Source organism: Homo sapiens, chromosome 5 (genome assembly GCF_000001405.40).
Source record: "Homo sapiens chromosome 5, GRCh38.p14 Primary Assembly".
Taxonomy (NCBI): Eukaryota; Metazoa; Chordata; class Mammalia; order Primates; family Hominidae; genus Homo; species Homo sapiens.
The window spans coordinates 116,000,198-116,018,905 of record NC_000005.10 but is presented as its reverse complement, the minus strand read 5'-3'; the positions used below and the strand labels follow the sequence as shown (position 1 = coordinate 116,018,905).

Below are 18,708 nucleotides of genomic sequence, written 5' to 3'. Positions count from 1 at the left end.
CTCTGTCTGCTTAATTTTGCTGTGAACTTAAAACTACCCTAAAAAATTAAGTTTATTAATTTCTTAAAAATCAACTGAAAAGTCACTTCATTTATTTAAACATTTTCTGGAATTGAGATAAATAAATCACGTCATAAGATGAGCTTTCTAAGTAAAACAAATTTAAAATATTTGAACAAATCTTGGCATCTCAAAATGTTTAAAAGATATAGCATATCTTTCTTTTTTGGAGATGGAGTTTTGTTCTTGTTGCCTACCCAGGCTGGAGGGCAATGGTGTGATCTCGGCTCACTGCAACCTGCACCTCCCGGGTTCAAGCGATTCTCCTGCCTCAGCTTCCTGAGTAGCTGGGATTACAGGCATGTGCCACCATGCCTGGCTACTTTTGTATTTTTAGTAGTGACGGGGTTTCTCCACGTTGGTCAGGCTGGTCACGAACTCCCGACCTCAGGTGATCTGCCTGCCTCAGCCTCCCAAAGTGCTGGGATTATTACAGGCGTGAGCCACCGGAAATGTAGATGAGGCATTAGTTAAGAACACATTAAAAGATTAAATATTTTCAGTAGTACTCTCATAAAATAAATAATTAAGAAGTATGCATTTTCTTACTTAGGAGAAAGTAAATAGAGAACCGGGAATCAGAGCCAGGGGATACGGGTTTAATTCAAGTTCTTTTGTTTACTAGGTATTGACTTTAAGTAATTTAACTTCTGAGTCTTGGTTATTAATTGGCAATTATTTTATGGGTGGCTGTGAAAACTGTAATTATTGCATATATAAACACGTTATTTTAATTTTTAAATTTTTGGTAGAAATAGAGTCTTTCTATATTGCCCAGGCTGGTCTCAAACTCCTGGGCTAAAGTGATCGTCCTGCCTTGGCCTCCCAAAGTGCTGGGATTACAGGCACGAGCCACCATGCCTAGACTAAACATGTTATTTTAAAGAACAACATTAATGTGTGTTTCATTCTAAACATGAGACTCTAATACTGCTGAGGGATGTTATAAATTTCATAAAAATAGAAACTGACAATATTGAGAAAAAGAAATAAAGTGAATGATATAGGGACTTGTAATAAAGCAGATACATCATATTATCTCAGTAAGATAATAATAATGAACATTAAACATTTATTATGTACCAATCACTTTAAATAGCACATTATTAAATTATCTTAAAGCCTATTCATTATTATCCTCACTTTATGAATGAGAAAGCTGAAGCTTAGGTTAAAAATCTTGTTTAAGGTTACATATTTAGCACTCTCCTCATCCTAAGATTGATCTGATTCTAGATTCTATTGCCTTAACTCTTTGACATACCATATATCTAGTGGATACATGAAAAACTAAACACAATAAATAAAAGGACAAAGGACAGTAATGAAGAGACACTTTCCATAGTTCTTAGAGGAAGAAACCTCCACTTTGCTACACTGCTCTAGTTAAGTCTATCCCCATGCCCCGATTCTAGAATTGACCTCCAATAGTGTTAACACATTGTCATAATCAGGACAGCCTGTGTGTGCTTCACATACGACACCAGTTAGAAACAAGACATCACCAATGAAGAGCACACAAAATAAAACTGCTTCACATGATATTCAAGGCCTGTTAACCCCTGTCCTTCTCTCTGAGCCTCAACTTACCTTCCCACTCCTAACTCCTCTCCAGTGCTCTAAGCTCTTGCCAGTTACTGTGACTAGTCCCAAGTTGGCCTCCCAACTCTGCCTCCAGGCATTTCCTGGTGTTCTGTCCTCCAGGTAGAAGGAGGAGATTTGCAACTGTGCTTGTTCAAATCACATGCACATCCCTTTCTTCCCCTTAAATCCCCAAAAGCCCTTGCCATCTCTCCTCTACAGCATTTATCAGATACCAAGTCCTAATCCTTTTACATCTCCAATAACAATTTGAACTGCACCTTGATGTAGAAGGACTAAAACTTTTTATTACTAGAAAGAATCTTAGAATTTATCAAATACATCTATTACTCTATAGAGAAGAAAACAAGGCCTAAATGTTAACTAATGGGTTTTTTTTTACAGTTCCAGAACCAAATGAGAGGGTTGGAAAATTTTGTTTCTCCCATCAGTCTTTCTTCTGGAACAACTGGTCTACTGGCAAAATGACGTTTTGTTTACATCAGCATATCCCAAGCTGGAGTTTGGAAGAACTATACCTAGAAGACGCTATGTAGTCAAACTGTATGGAAAACTCTAGGTTTCCTTCTGCAGGGCTTCTTGTAGACTTTATAAGGCTAAAATGCACTGTGAGTCTGCAAAAGTGAGGGTTAAAACAATTTCAGAACTGACTGAGCTATTGTCTCCATCTGTCCCAGAAGGCTTATCATCCCCATCTTCGTAAGTAGCATGCAGTGGAATGTGCGTCAGAAAAACTAAGTGCTAACTTGTTAGTGATCAGTCACATTTTAGCAAATTCAGTATAAATACTTTCCACACCATTAATATAAAATTTAATTTGGCATAAGGATTTTTTACTTATAATTTTATACTACCTTCATCATTACATGAGGACTAGTGACATACATATTATCATGTCAAATATGTCTGTTTAATTAGTGATAATTAAATATTCAGATGTATAAAGAACTAAGTAAATATTCCTGTGTCATTTTGACTATAAATAAAATTTTAGTTATTAAGTTGAACTTTTATTTCCTTCTTACAATCCATAAATAATGTAACAGTCTATTCAAACAAAACTATTAGCAAAATTGAACAAAACTGCTGAATATAAACTAAGCCCTAAAAATAAATGCATAAGATGTAGAAAGCAAATTAATTTGAGTCTGAAACATTTTGTAGCAGAATTGCAAGAAAAGTGAACTAAGGCAAATTCACCAGAAGTAGAATAGGCAACTGTTTTATGAGTATGGCATGTTGTCAACTAAAAGATAAAAATATTCAAGCCATAGTTAAAAGTTCATGTATTGCTCTTCCATAACACAGGCAGTTTGTAGTGAGACTAAACAAAGGAAAAATGATAACTTTTCTAGTCAATGCAAAGGACGTTTGTGGCCTAGCTAGACTAAAGCTGAGCTTCCAAGCTAGACTAAAGCTGAGCTTCCAGTGCCAAACCAGTGGCCTAAATGAAAGAAAGGTCTCACTTTCCTTCTTACCTTTTACTCACAGCTTGCCAGTTGTTGACTAAGAAGTCTTTTGCGACATACCGGCCAACTTCAGATGAAGCCACAACCTCAATTATATTTGTTTCATTAGAAGTGAATGGAGATGTGCTGATGGCATACTCCATATATCTGCAAAAGTGCATTTTCAAAAAATACATTTTAAACATCCAACATAAAGAGTTAATTTAAATAAACAAAATCAAAATCCCATGGTTCTAAGGTAGTGAAGCACAAATACGCAACGTTTTAATACTTACATTAGCACATTTCTATTTTTTTTCCTTTATTAATTTAATTCCTATAACAGAAACTTTCAAGGTAAGTTGACCATAATCACCTGTTAAGTATCCATGGGTCTTTGCTGCAGCTCATTGCATAAGCAAGTTGAATCTTTTCTTCTTTGTTTGTTGTATTAGTGTAAGTATTTAACAAGATGTCCCACTCTTTATCACTTCCCAAGGCAATGCCATAACATAAAACCACATCTTTAATTGGATAAGGTATTCTGTAAAATATAACATAAAATGATATTTTTCATAGTAGTTATGTTTACCCAGGTTATCATATTTTAGAAGTATGAATCTAGAAAAAATATTTATAGTCACAGATATAAAGGTCAAAAGTAGGAATCTAGAGAGGCAATTATCAGAACTGTCATTAGCATTAGTTCCATGAGAAGAGATCATCAAATTCCAAACTAAGGGGCTTTAAGAAAGAAGTAAATTAGAATAGTATAGAGTATATTGATAATACAAGTTGGTCTTGTATCTGATTATCATGTTTCCTAAGAGTCCATCCGAGGTGCTATATCAAAGGTAATAAAACCAAAATGAGAGTTTCAGAGCTCAGTGAGGCAACAAACTAAGAGAGAGATGGAGAGAGAGGTGCTCTGCTGCACTCATAGATATAACAATCATAAACAATCATAAAGAACAACCTATTAAGACTCAAAACAAGCATAGACAGCTCAAAGTAAGTGCTTATTGGAAGAGTGCTTTGGCAATGAGAGGTCCTAGGTGACAATTCATTGTATAAATTCTAGTCTATCGTTATACACAGACCCACATTAAACACTGGTTTTTTAAAAAAGGTATTTGAAAAGAATAGTAGGAGAGAGCGCCTAACCAAGTGAAAGCAAAACACTCATTCCCACAGTGAGTACATCAAAAAGGGAAATTGCTGGTGCTAAAATAGGACAAAAACAAGAGGAATTATGATATTACTCTTACTCATTTTCTGGATGATCCACCCATTTTGCGAAAAGTTCTTTTGACAGCTGAAGGCAGTCTTCAAGGCCCAACCAACACGCAGTTACAAAAAGTTTTTCCAGTGATATTCTTGAAGAAAAAGTCAAAGAAAAACAGTTTATTTTGCATTACCACCTTCATTTTCTCTGCCTCCAAGAATATGTGTTTCATAAAAAGATGGGTATTTTTAAATATCCTTTCAATGACATCAGGTTTGTTTTAAAAAATTGTTTTTGTGGATGACAGATGTATTTAAGATTCAGAGAAATATTTACTGAGAGGCTCTTAGGCACCAAAAAGAGCTCCTAAAGCCAGTATTTTTTGAAAGTTAGAAACAAATTACTGCCATCCTTCATCTCCCTTAAACACACATGGGTGTACACACTCTCCACAGCTGTTGTCAATTTATTTTTCCTGTCTTTTACTGCAATTGCCTTATGGATAAAAAATGATTTCAGAGTATCTAATCTAATAGACTTTAAAATAAAGTTCTTTCTCTATAAAAGAAAGGGAAAGGGAATAGTTCATTTCTCTCCTTCTACAATTTGTTTTCTTTTGCTTTAGTGTGTTTCTTCTACTCCTCCTGGCTGTTACATACATGTTCAGGAAAAGAATAAAGGTGTTTGGTTGGTTTGATTTGTTTTCACAGCTGAGCAGGGGTGTACACTGTACTTCAAAACAAAATAAGTTCAAAAGAATACAGTGAAGACCAATAATAAATCCAGGTAAGTGATGCCTTGTGGTCCCTACTCCAGATTTGCGGTCAGGGTAAAGAAACCCAAATTGGTCATAAGTTTCCAGAAAACGCAAGCGCCAAATCTCTGTTACTCCGTCCTCCAGTTTCAACCCAGCCTGGCCTGACCTTCTGATAAGCTGAAGAGGAATGTGCAAGGGTGGAGGTCCGCTGAGAGACAGTTCTAGGCATTCATTTACATACTCTACTCACCCCCTCTCCTCACCCATCCCAATCTCAAGCCGGTAGCAACAAGCTGGAGTTCTGTGGAAGTGCAGTCTAACTCCCTAGAGCTTCTCTGAAGAGAACTGTCCCTGGGATGCTATAAAAAGTAGGCTACTTCAGTCCAATTTAGGAGAGCCAAGGAAATGTCTGGTTAACAAATGTGCTGCCTGATTGAGCACACTTTTGCCTTCCCACTCATTCATACAGATTGCCTAACCATTCTTGATCCCAGCTAGTCCTTACCATTGTCCACCTACTCATGCATTACATTTTATGTCCTTCTAATCACATCCCTTAGCACTAAAATTTCTGCCCTCCCAGAAGAGTACTATTGAGACAGAATAATCATACTTTGTATATTTTGTATTTCTTGCTTGGTCTAATTGATTTGAACCTGATGTTTACCAGAAGTTGTAGGTATAATCCCTATACCGTTATTGGCTACAGAGTCCCTCCCTATATCTAGAGACCATCCTACACACAAAACTTAGGGCACAGGGAAGACAGAAATACTACCACCCCATTTTGCCTCTTGCCTCCTTCCTAGACCACCATGACAATATGCTTACTCTCCTCACCAAACCAGTAATATGAAAGTCATTTGTGAAACTAACTTGTGCTCACAGACCTATAGCAGTGACTGATCTATATCACTGTCAACCTACTTCATCTTACCTGCATAATGACTGAATTTCTGTTAATAATAAAATACAGATGGGACCTTTTCCCCTGTGGCTTTCCCACGCCCTTCAACTCACTGGTATAGGCTAGCTTTGCTTAGTACATCTTCACCAATAGTAGGACACATTTATAATTTCAACCAGTAGTCTAGGCTTTGAGAATATAGAGCTATAAGCTCCTATGTGTACATGCACGTGCTTTGCAGGTAAATTAAGATCTCAAACGATTAACTTCTGTTAGAATACATGTAGCCCACCAACCTCTGAGCTATTGTTCTCAAATAATAATAGCATATAAAATCTCTCAATGAATAACAGATATGAAGATTTTATTTTATTACTTCTGGAAGCCTATTAATATGAATGCATTTTATTCAATTATCACTTCTGAAAACATACTTACAGAGCTAAGTAGTCATCTTGTAATGCCAACACATTTTCACGAATTATAGTTGAATAAATATTCCATATTAAATTAAGTCTCTTTAATAGGTACCTCTATAAACAATAAAGAAAATACACTGTTAGTTCTGGCTTGCAAACACTGAATTTTCACTGTGTTTCTATTTATTTATCTGAAAAGACATTGATAGACAAGTGGCAGATATTTCTTCAGAAATTACCTTTATCTGTTACTAAATATATAACTGGTTTATTTTTTAACCTCTTTCGGTTTAGTTCCATTTTTCATAAAATGTGGTTTACCATAATACCAATGTTACAGTGTATTATGAGGATTAAATAATATAATATATTGCAAGCACATTGCCTGGCACAAAGCAAGAACTCAAAAAATATTGGCTATAATGATCATTTAACATCATCCCATACATTTCCAGTTATGTTCAAAATAGAGAAGAAATGTAAAAATATAAAATAGCCTTTCTACCATAAAACATCCATGCTAAGTATACATTCCTCAAAAAAAAAGAACTGGTTTATGTCCTGGACACACTGAAGCCCTAATTTTGAAATAAATATAAGCTATTAGCTGGTAAATATAAAATTATAAAAGTTAGACATTTACTAATACATCCCTAAGAATTAACTAGCTGCTGTTCATTGAAATTCTTTGAAAACAAATATTAGTTTTACTTCTTTACCCAGAACAAGTCATCAGATGTTATCAACGAGCCTCCTCAATCCCACCAAAATTTTAGTGCCTTCTTTTATTAATCACCATCCCAAGCTCAGCTTAATTCCCATTGGTACTTCGGCCACTAGGAAAAAGAAAGTCTGGGGCCGTTAGACGTATTTGTGATCTCACCCTCTGAATGGTCCAGAAATTCACTTGAAATCATTACCTAACATACTTTTTGGTTTGTGTGACCCCTAACTCCCCAAAGAGGGCTACCTAACTTTCGCTTTGATTTTACCTTTGCTATTTTTTCCTATAATTACTGTTTAAGATCTAAAAATGGAAATTTTTTTTTCATTTATTATGGCATGTCATTTCTCTGTTCAGTAATTCTAATTTCTCTCTTTCTTTTCCTAATATCAAAAGCATCTTCAAATTTTTACATTTTCTGGAATATATCTCTCTGGATTTAAGTGCTGTTCCTATGAGTCAGAATATTGAAATTATAAACACAGAGTTGTTACATTTCATTCTGGCTGCCTAACAATCTCTTAGGAAAATAGTTGCTAATAAATACTATCCTTTTCCCTAAAAAAAAAAAAACAGGCATACCATTTCCATCCACTTCTGGTTTCTTAGGACATACTGTCACTTCACCAAGAATGAAGTACCCTTCCAAACCTCACTCATCTCCTAGACCAGGTCTATGACTAAGGTATTTTCTTCTAAGATCAATCAGCCCTTGTTAAGGAAATGTATATACTTCCATATATATATATATATATATATGGAACTAAGACTATTACTTTGGAAAAGACCTGTCTCACAGATGCTGGCTAAAATATGAAAAGAAGAAGAGAGGATTTATTTAAAAACTACATAAGAAAGAATGAAATTACCTTTAATAATGAGTATATATCATAGATGTTCACCTCAGAAACAAGATCCCTGGTTACCAAGTTTACCAAGACTGTATGCCATACTATAATTTCATCTTCTTCAGCAAGGTACTTGGTTAACTCAAGTGCTGTTTCAATCTCAATATAATTGTTTCTGTTTGATTTAAAAACACACACACTCAAAAAACCTTCACTTGCTAAGTAATTTGCATACGTTCGATATTTGTTCCATGTTTCAATGCATGACTTCAATAAGGCATGTGAATAAGTCAAGAAACGAGAAGGTAAATGTCCCATCTTATAGAAAGGATGAAACCCAAGCAAAGTTGACAGTCCTTCCATTTCAATTTGGTACTTTCAAGTGTCCAAAGTCTTGAAGGCTAGAGAAAATTCAGGCCAAATGTTGGACTGATTATTAGGAAATAGAAGAGTTATGCATTCTGTATGCATTCTTATGACAGCATAATTTGCATTCAACAAATATTAATTAGAAGTCATTCTCTATCTAATGCTCTGACAGCTACTGATGTGCACACCAACTACAGGCATACCTCAGAGATATTGTGGATTCTGTTCCAGACCACAATAAAGCTAATATCATAATAAAGCAAGTCATACAATTTTTTTGATTTTCCAGTGCATATAAAAGTTATGTTTACACTATACTGTAGCCTATTAAGTAGCAATGGCATTATGTCTAAGAAAAACAGTATGCACACCTTAATTTAAAAGTAGCTTATTGTCAACGAATGCTAACAACAATCTGAGCCTTCAGCAAGTCATAACCTTGGCTGCTAACTGATCAGGGTGGTGGTTGCTGAAGCTGAGGTGGCTATGGCAATTGCTTAAAATAAGCAACAATAAAGTTTGCCAAATTGCTCAATTTCCTTTCACAAAAGATTTTTCTGTAGTATGCGATGCTGTTTAATAGCATTTTACCCACAGCAAAACTTCTTTCAAAATTGGAGTCAATCCCCTCACACATCCTGCTTGCTGTTTTGACAACTAAGTATACGTAATATTCTCAATCCTTTGTTGTCATTTCAGCAATGGTCATAGCTTCTTCACCAGGATTAGATTCTTTCTCAAGAATCCACTTTCCTTGCTCATCCATAAGAAGCAACTTCTCATCCATTCTAGTTTGATCATGAGATTGCAGCAATTCAGTCGCATCTTCAGGCTTCACTTCTAATTCTAGTTCTATCACTATTTCCACTGTATCTGAAGTGACTTCCTCTACTGAAATCTTAACCCCTTAAAGTCACCAATGAGGATTGAAAACTTCTTCAAAACTCCTGTTTATATTGATTTTTTTTACCTCCTTTCATGCATTGCAAATGTTCGTAATGGCATTTGGAATGATGAATCCCTACCAGAAGATTTTCAATTTACTTTGGCCAGATTCATCAGAAGGATCATTATCTATGGAAGCTATAGCCTTACAAAATGTATTTCTTAAATAATAAGAGTTAAAAGCAGAAATTACTCCTTGATCCCTGGGCTGAAGAATTGATATTGTGTTAGTGGGCATGAAAACAACATTAATCTCCTTGTACATCTCCATCATAGTGCTTGTGTAACCAAGTGCATCATCAATGAGCAGTAATATTTTGGAAGGAATCTTTTTTTTTCCTGAGCAGTAGATCTAAGCAATGGGCTTAAAATATTCAGCAAACCATACTGTAAACAGATGTGCTGTCATCCAGGCTTTGTTTTTCCACTTACAGAGCACAAGCAGAGTTGATTTAGCATAATGTTTAAGGACCCTAGGATTTACAGAATGGTAAATGAGCATTGGCTTCAACTTAAAGCTACCAGCTGCATTAGCCCCTAACAAGAGAGTCAGCCTGTCCTTTGAAACTTTGAAGCCAGGCATTGACTTGTCCTCTCTAGCTATAAAAGGCCTAGAGGGCATCTTCTTCCAATATAAGACTGTTTCATATGGAAAAACCTGTTGTTTGGTGCAGCCATTTTAACAATTATCTTAGCTAGATCTTCTGGATAACTTACTATAACTTCTACATCAACATTTGCTGTTTCACCTTGTACTTTGTTATGGAGATGGCTTCTTTCCTTAATCTGCATGAACTAACCTCTGCTAGCTTTAAACTAGCACCTTTTCCTGCACCTTCCTCACCTCTCTTAGCCTGAATAGAATTGAAGAGAGTTAGGACCTTGCTCTGGATTAGGCTTTGGTTTAAGGGAATATTGTGGCTGGTTTGATCTTTTATCCTAATCAATGAAACTTTCTCCATATCAGCAATAAGGCTGTTTCACTTTTTTTTTTTTAATCATTCATGTATTCACTGGAGCAGTACTTTTTAATTTCCTTCAAGAACTTATCCTTTGCATCTACAATTTGGCCATGTGGAGCAAGAGTCCTAGTTTCGGCCTATCTCAATTTCAACATGCCTTCCTCACTAAACTTAATCATTTCTAGCTTTTGATTTAAAGTGAAAGATTCAGGACTCCCCCTTTCACTTGAACCCCTAAAGGCCATTGTAGGGTTATTAATTGGCCTAATTTTATTTATTTATTATTATTATTTTTTTAGACGGAGTCTCGCTCTGTCACCCAGGCTGGAGTGCAGCGGCATGATCTCTGCTCACTGCAAGCTCTGCTTCCTGGGTTCATGCCATTCTCCTGCCTCAGCCTCCCGAGTAGCTGGGATTACAGGTGCCCACCACCACACCTGGCTGATTTTTTTTGTATTTTTAGTAGAGATGGGGTTTGCACTGTGTTAGCCAGGATGGTCTTGATCTCCTGATCTCGTGATCCACCCGCCTCGGCCTCCCAAAGTGCTGGGATTACAGGCATGAGCCACCACACCCGGCCCTAATTTCAATAGTACTGATTCTCAGGGAATGGAAACGCCAAAGAAGAGGGAGAGAGATGGAGGAATGGCTGGCCAGTGCAGCAGTCAGAACACACACAATTATTAAGTTTGCTGCCTTATACAGGCATGATTCATTGCACCCCAAAACAATTACAGTCATAACATCATCAATTCCTGTTCACAGATTACTGTAACAGATATAACAATCATGAAAAAGTTTGAAATTTTGTAAGAATTACCAAAATGTGACCCAGAGACATAACATGAGCACATGCTGCTGGAAAATGATGCTGATAGACTTGCTTGACTCAGAGTTATCACAAATCTTCAATTTGTAACAAATGCAATATCTGTGAAGTCTTAAAGCAAAGTACAATAAAACGAGGTATGCCTGTAGTACATATGACACTGCACTTGCCTACCATTGAGGAGCTTCAATGAAGAGATGAGACTTATGCATAAGAAACCAGTAATGAAAGGTCCCAAAGGCAGTGAATACTACAAAGTAGCAAAGAAGGAAAATATGCACATATAAAAGTCAGGGATAAGATAGAAAAGTCAAGGAAGGCTTCATGGAGGAGAAACTTGAGAAGAGCAGTGAAGGATGCATAGGATTAAAATAGGTAGAAAAAGAGGAAGGCAGTCCAGGACAAATAAGATAAGGTGGGAATTAGTGTGATGGGCCGATGAAGCTAACTGAGGCAGGGGATTTCCTTTTTGTATAGTGAGAAATGGGGCCTAATAGGTAAGTTGGCTCAAACCTGTGAAGATCCTTGAATGTCAGGATGAAGAGTTTAGATTAGGTGGAAAGGTACTCTGGGTATTTAAACAATTGGAATAGCATAATGAAATTGATGTCTAACAATTTTATTGCAATAGTGTTAAAGAAGACAGAATGAAATTCAAAAGGACCGAAGGCTGGAGGCTAATTTAATAGGCCAGGCAAGAGATGATGAAAGCTTGGCTTAGTGTGGGAGCAGTGAAAGTGGTAAAGTGAGCCTCCAAAAGACATTTCTAAGAATGAAGAGATAGGACTTGGTGACTGTGCATGTAAGATGAAGCAAAGAGAGGAATCAAGGATATCTCTGAGGTTTCAAGTTTGGGTGATGAAAAGAAGAGTAACTTTGACATGCAGGGAAAAATTGATAGCAAGAGCAAGGTGGAGACAAAAATGAAGTTCAGTGTTTAAGGCACTGTATTTGTATGACCACAGGATAAACCTAAGACAGGGGGAAAGATAAGTAGCAATGTAGATTTGGAAGTCATCAACATGTCCTTCCGCAAACATTTACTGAGGACCTTACATCTGCTGGCACTCTACAGATACGTAATAAAATGGTCACCAAAACCCTAGAGTGAATGAGTTATCAAAGAAAAGATAGAAGAAAGTAATGTAACCATGATTGGTCCTAAGAAGCTCACAGCAGTAGAAGAGGAGTCAGATACATGAGGAGAACCAGGTTTGCATATCAGAGTCTCAGGAAGCCAAAATGACATTTTCAGGTGGATGTAGTCAATAATAGCAAAGTCATGGTGATCTTAGAGACAGAGAGAGGAATTTCAGCCAAGTATTAGACAAGGAAATGTACTGTAAGTCACAGAGGGAAAAAGGAGGAAAGAAGGATAAAATAAGTAGACATTTATTCAAACAATACGGCTGGCTAAAGAAAGAGAAAAAATACTAGATAATGTATTACATATATTCCTTAATTTTATTGCCTGAAAATTTAAATTCTGAACATTTATTAATTTACCTGGTTAAACACTTAGCAGCATATCTTACACTGAGTAAATCTAATATAAATAAAATAAATAATTCTGCAATATATTAAAATACAGGCAAGATTGCATTAAAATTATAGCCATCACCCTTGGAAAACAGAAATCACTGCCACATCTTAGTTGGTAGTCTTTTTATTTCCAGCAACTCATTATATTATAAAATTCCATTGCAGCTACAGAATTTCATCCTAATCTTAATCAGTTATGGCCTGTATAGACTAAATAATCAAATTCATAGTGATGAAGCTATTATTTTTATAAAGGTCTCAAGGTATATTCTGAAACCATGAGAGAAGAAAATATACTCACTTAGACAAGGAAAAGGCATCATCAATCAACTGCAGTCTGTGAATAACAGGAATCGCCTGCAGAATTAGACCCAAATATGCCCAGAAGAAGATGAGAACATTTTTCCGCAAAGTTTTCAAAATAACAACAATTTAAAGATTACTGCTGCCTATAAAGCACCTTCACGTGACTTATCTCATCTGCAGAGAAACAACAATTACTGAGGACAGTCCCCATAATTTATTTATCATACATATGTTTTTGAAATAAATGAACCCTCTGGACATCAATCATAAGGTTTAAATATGGCAGAAAGTTTTGCCAAAATACTCCTGAAACATACCATGTTAAAAAATAAAACAGGCAACCAAATTTAAAAGGCCTCCCCAAAACAAGTATACATCAAGTTGTATTACAACATCCAAATTATTTTCAGGGATGTTTTTGGCATAGAAGCCCTTAAATAAATATTATTTAGCGCTATTTTGGTAACATTGAGGTACCATATTTTTTCACACGGTATTTATCTTAAGATTTTACTAACGTGACAGAATGCCACCAACAGATCCCTTTACATCCATGGAATGGCAGGGGCCAATTGCCAGTGTGATTCTTTAGACTTCTGTTTGAACTCCCTGGCATTGCCAGGCCACAGGATTCTGCTGTCAGCTCAGTCCCTAAGGGGGCCCAAGGCCTCCTACATCATACCTTCAGCACCTCTCAGCACTGTGATATGTTTGGTTCAAAAACTTTATCTTCACAGCATTTCTTTAAGGGTCCGAGCAAGTCAAGTTTAATTCTTCAGTTGGTATAGTTTAATTTCTTTTCTGGCAGTACTAACACATTTTCTAGATTAATATTAATCATAAAGATTCTCTTTTATTTGCTCACCAATTATGTCGTAGAAATAATTTGCCTCTGTTTTTCAATAAGTAAATCTACAATGGTTTCAATAAATCATTACTATAATGACATAACCTCGTGCTTTCATGGCTTAGAATGCCCTTAGAAATGTAATAAGAATTTAGACACTCTGAAAATATTTGAAAAGAAAATATTATTGTAAGTGGCCTTTGTAGTTTTATTCAAAATCCCATTAATTTGTTTTAATTACTGAACATGTTATGAATCCCTGAATTGTGTCAGGCCTCTGTTAAACATAATACATATATCAACTTATTTAATCTTCACGATAACCCTTTAAGTTTGGTATATTACCCCCATTATTACACAAATAAGAAATTGAGGTACAACCAGGATGCCTTCTCTAGACTTTTAATGGTTGATCTTTCTGTTAGGAAGAGACTCCACCTCCATTCCCACCACTCACCTCCAGGAATACTGAAGGGAGTTTTTTGGGGGTTTTTTTTCCCCATATTCTTAGAAAGGGGAGATTTGGCTCGAATGTGCCATACATCTGGCAAACAATGAACAAAACAGGAACACAAGTCTTCCTGATCCAGAACCTAAGCTCTAAACCAATATGCTAGAGAGATTGCTGTGTGCCTCAGAGAACTTTCAAACACAGAGACACTTAACAGAGAGACATCTTTTAGTTCAGCACTCCAGTTTTGTAAATGGAGTCTAAATGAACCACCCACGGGCTCACAGCAAGTCACAGCAGAGCCAACTGTACTGACTCCTAAGCTGGCGTCCAGCTCCACTCATGGAAATTTAGTTTAATCCAGTTAAAATCTGATTGATTAGAGCTGGCCAACATTTTAGTGTTTATACACTGCATAGTTACTTATAGTTATTTTATAATATAAAGTGATATTGGACTATTGATGTTTTGTGAATTAACTTCTCTCTTCTGAAGGAGAGTGGAAATATGTTTTTAGAAGTAAAATTAGTATTTTCTAGCATTTACTGATTACCTATTATGAGTTTAGAAATTTTAAGTATACTTTCACTTACATGATCTCTAATCCTCATGATGAATAAAATATAATAATATTCTCGTTTTAAAATGAAGAAATGGAACCAGGACATTTAAGTAACTTGCCAAAGCTCACAAAACTAATGGTTAATAGGAAAATGCATCCTGATTCTTACCTGGAAAGGTTGTTTTGGAAAAGCAAAATGAATGTTCAAAAACACAACACATTTGGCCGGCGCGGTGGCTCACGCCTGTAATCCCAGCACTTTGAGAGGCCGAGGCAGGTGGATCACCAGGTCAGGAGATTGAGATCATCCTGGCTAACACGGTGAAACCCCGTCTCTACTAAAAATACAAAAAATTAGCCGGGCGTGGTGGCAGGCGCCTGTAGTCCCAGCTACTCCGGAGGCTGAGGCAGGAGAATGGCGTGAACCCGGGAGGCGGAGCTTGCAGTGAGCCGAGATCGCGTCACTGCACTCCAGCCTGGGCGACAGAGCAAGACTCCGTCTCAAAAAAAAAAAACAAAAAAAACAAAAAAAAACCACACAGACAACACATTTAATCAAAATCTCCACTTGTTAAGAATAAGAAAAAAAAATCTTTTGCATGCCTGGAGGTGAGGGGCGGGAATGAAGGTGGAATCTCTTCCCACCAGAATGTTCAACTTCTAAAACACTAGAGAAGGCATTATAAATTATATTTAATTAAAAGTATCAAAAGTAACCTTACCTTAGGATCCTTTTCAAGTTGTTGATTTAGTTTCTTCCAACCTAATTTATCATAATTAACTCTATAATATCCAGTCATATTCAAATTCAAAATCACCCAGTCATGGTCAGAATCTGAAACTTGCATTTCTGGGAATACTTCTATAAAGGAATATGGGAATAATTTGAAATGGTACATTTAAAAAAGATCTTAATACCTATTAATACTACACACTCGATTCTAAACAATAAACCAACAAAACAAAAAATTAAAGGAATTCTAAAATATATATTGCTCTTACCAGGTAATTATATATTTTTCACATATAATGGCTTTTGATTTGACACTTTTCTTTAAAACTCTATGCTCTACAAGAATGATATTTTAGTTTGAAATGAAATGGCTTTTCAAAAGCTAGACTTTTCAATATTTTATTCCCTGCCTTTACATATGCATATATATAAAGATGTTTTTAAAATTTGTTACTTACTGCTGCTTTGATCTAGCCAGACTAAAGGTTGTGTAGTTCCATTTTTTATCCAAAGAATAGGGACAATCCATGTGTCACTTATTGGAAGAAAATAAAAAAATTAGTTACTTTTCACACATAAAAACATACACTCTGAGCCACTATTAAAGAGATGATGAAATAGCACACAGAACTCAGTTTCTTTGGTCATTCTCTCTAGATATGCAGGCCTTTGCTCTTAGGATTACTCACCACTGTTTTTACAAGCCAGTTTTACTTTGGCTATTGTTTACTCCTCTCTCCTGTTGTGTCTTACGGATTTACTTCCTTTTATAACTTAGGTAGCTACTAAACTCTTGTGTCTGAAATCTTCAAGGCGTGTGTATGTTAAATTATAGACACCTGGCTTCACTCAAGGGTAGTTCAAATGCTGCAAACAGACCTAAATCCGTCCATGCCCAGAGAGGTGAAAAGTAGTTTAGAAGGAAAAGCTTGACAATCACTTCAAAATACTTTCAGCCTCAAGCATTCTCCCCATCTGAAAACTATTCAACAGGAATCAGCCATGACATTCATTTATTCAATGTCTGCATTCTTCCCACATTGCTGGACGCTACCTGGATGAAGTAGCTGATCACAGGAAGCACATTCGTCATCGCAAGAGACACACTACTCAGAGTTTGGGCAATATTTCCAATCTTGTTAAGTTCCCACAAGCCTGGTGTCTTGAAGACTGTCAACTGTGGGTCTGTGTTTATCTGCATAGCTAAGACACACAGGTCTTCTCAAAAACCACAGAGTAGTACAGGGAGAAGGAAACTTTGAGCGTCCCATTTCTCTTTCCTGAGGCTTTAAAGAAAGAGTAGAACTATCTGAAAATTTTGGTGATTGTATTTGAAAATTAATTACTCATTTGTGCTGATACTGCAATGAAATGTGAAGATTAAAACTATCAAAAACAGTTGAAAATCAGCTAATAGATTAAGAAAGGGAAGAGAAGAAGAAAGGGATAAAGGCTAGGCTATTTTATACTCATTTCACTTTTACACAATCTATTGGGATACATGCTATTGCATGTATTTTATAGATAAGGCAACTGAAACTCACAGAGCTTAAATAATACCTAAGGTTTGAATTTTTGAGAAGTCAATATTTGAACCCAGGTCTAACTGAATCTAAAGGCCTTAATTCTAATGTTGTGGGTATGGCTACAAATACACAAACGCACGCATCCACACACATCCGTGCACACCCCTGCACAGAACTATTCCTCAAGGAAATAGTTACCATTCAGTTTCATTTCTAAGGAAGAGAAGACCACTCTGCAGTAAGACTTCCTTTCCTCTTTACTAATATATGGCAATCTATGGCTCTGTCTTACTGCCCCTCACTCAGAATCCCAAGTAATTCATTACCTCTGTCTGAGGGATGAAGAGGAACACACAATAGCCCACAGCTTGGGTCGCTGATGTAACCCTAAATCCCAGGGTAGGGGCACTGTGTCTTGAATCCCTAACTGCGGGTCTCTGGCGTTGCCCGGACACAAGGGCTCTGCTTCACCCTAGTACACAGTCACATTGCAGAAGTGTGTATGCCCAGCGGGGGTAACGCTTCTTCACCCACAGGCTGGATTCCATTGGGTCAGAGCTCAACCCCAAGGAAGGTGAAGACAAAGAGGAGCAAAGCTACCTACTTGCTGGTTAGAAGAGTCCGATTTTTAATGTTTTCAAGATAAAATGGCTCCTGTTTCATGACGCCAGTAGACACATTTAAAGTGATCACTGGAAAACCACTCTGGTGTGTCCAACTGTCCATTATGTTTTTTATTGTTGCTGGCAAAATAACTGTACTCTGGTCATCTATGGCCTGTTTTAAAAAATCACCACAAAGGCAGGTAAGGTTATCCGTGAAACATTTTGAAGTAGCAATCTCCAAAAAGAAACTCGGTAGCTATTCTCTTCCTCACTTATGTAGTAGTCCTGCAGTGGGTGATCCTCTGGGGCAAATTTAGAACTCTGTTTATATATGAATGGTTCTTTAATTCATTAATTCAATAAATATGAACACATATTTATTGATCTAACATATTCCATGCTCTGTTCTGGGCACTGGGAATATAGTGAAGACTAAAGACACTACCCATGACCTAAGGGAGTTCTACAACAAGACAAAGCTGTTTTCCTGTGGAACTGCCATTCACCCATGGCCTCCCAGTCTTTTCCTGTATCATACAAAACAACTCAGCAAGAATGTGTCAGAAAGTAGGACAATTACCATTTGAAAATGCCTCCATAGATCATCTTGCTCAGCGTTTGAGTAGGAAAATGTCTTCAAATATGACTGTAAAAATAGAAAAGTTAAGGTTAAAATAAATAGCATGCCAATGGAATTTATGTTTACTGCCATCCAGGTAACGACTATTTTGCAAACTCACCTTGAGTGCACTGACAAATAAATGCTCATTCAAGAAACAAGAAAGCATCCGGGCCATAGACGCTCCCTAGGACAAAAGAAGCTGTCCATTATTTGAACAAAATTCAATATCCACATACTGACACATTCCATATTTATAAGCAATATTCTGAGCTGTGCTCCTGATTGCATTTTGCATTTTAGTTGAATGTTTGAATTATTTTGGAATGTGCTAACAAAATAGTAGGCTGTCACTAATTCAGAGGTAAAAGGTAAGCAGATGTCCTACATGTAAAGAGTACAGAGTACATAAAATTTTTAAA

At 36.5% G+C, this 18,708-nt stretch overlaps 1 protein-coding gene across 8 annotated transcripts in view; it reads right to left on the bottom strand.

The window, feature by feature from the left end:
* The window catches only part of LVRN (laeverin), a 65,132-nt gene that overhangs the window by 8,701 nt on the left and 37,723 nt on the right, over positions 1 to 18,708 (bottom strand). For all 8 annotated transcript variants that reach the window (NM_173800.5, XM_047416915.1, XM_047416913.1 and 5 more), the window contains 11 exons: positions 18,408 to 18,473; positions 18,248 to 18,313; positions 17,667 to 17,839; positions 15,995 to 16,071; positions 15,526 to 15,665; positions 12,939 to 12,994; positions 8,012 to 8,165; positions 6,438 to 6,532; positions 4,379 to 4,486; positions 3,487 to 3,654; positions 3,141 to 3,278 (listed from right to left, as the gene is read on the bottom strand). In NM_173800.5, coding sequence (NP_776161.3) covers positions 3,141 to 3,278; positions 3,487 to 3,654; positions 4,379 to 4,486; positions 6,438 to 6,532; positions 8,012 to 8,165; positions 12,939 to 12,994; positions 15,526 to 15,665; positions 15,995 to 16,071; positions 17,667 to 17,839; positions 18,248 to 18,313; positions 18,408 to 18,473 — 1,241 coding nt within the window. The remainder of the gene's footprint in view (positions 1 to 3,140; positions 3,279 to 3,486; positions 3,655 to 4,378; positions 4,487 to 6,437; positions 6,533 to 8,011; positions 8,166 to 12,938; positions 12,995 to 15,525; positions 15,666 to 15,994; positions 16,072 to 17,666; positions 17,840 to 18,247; positions 18,314 to 18,407; positions 18,474 to 18,708) is intronic.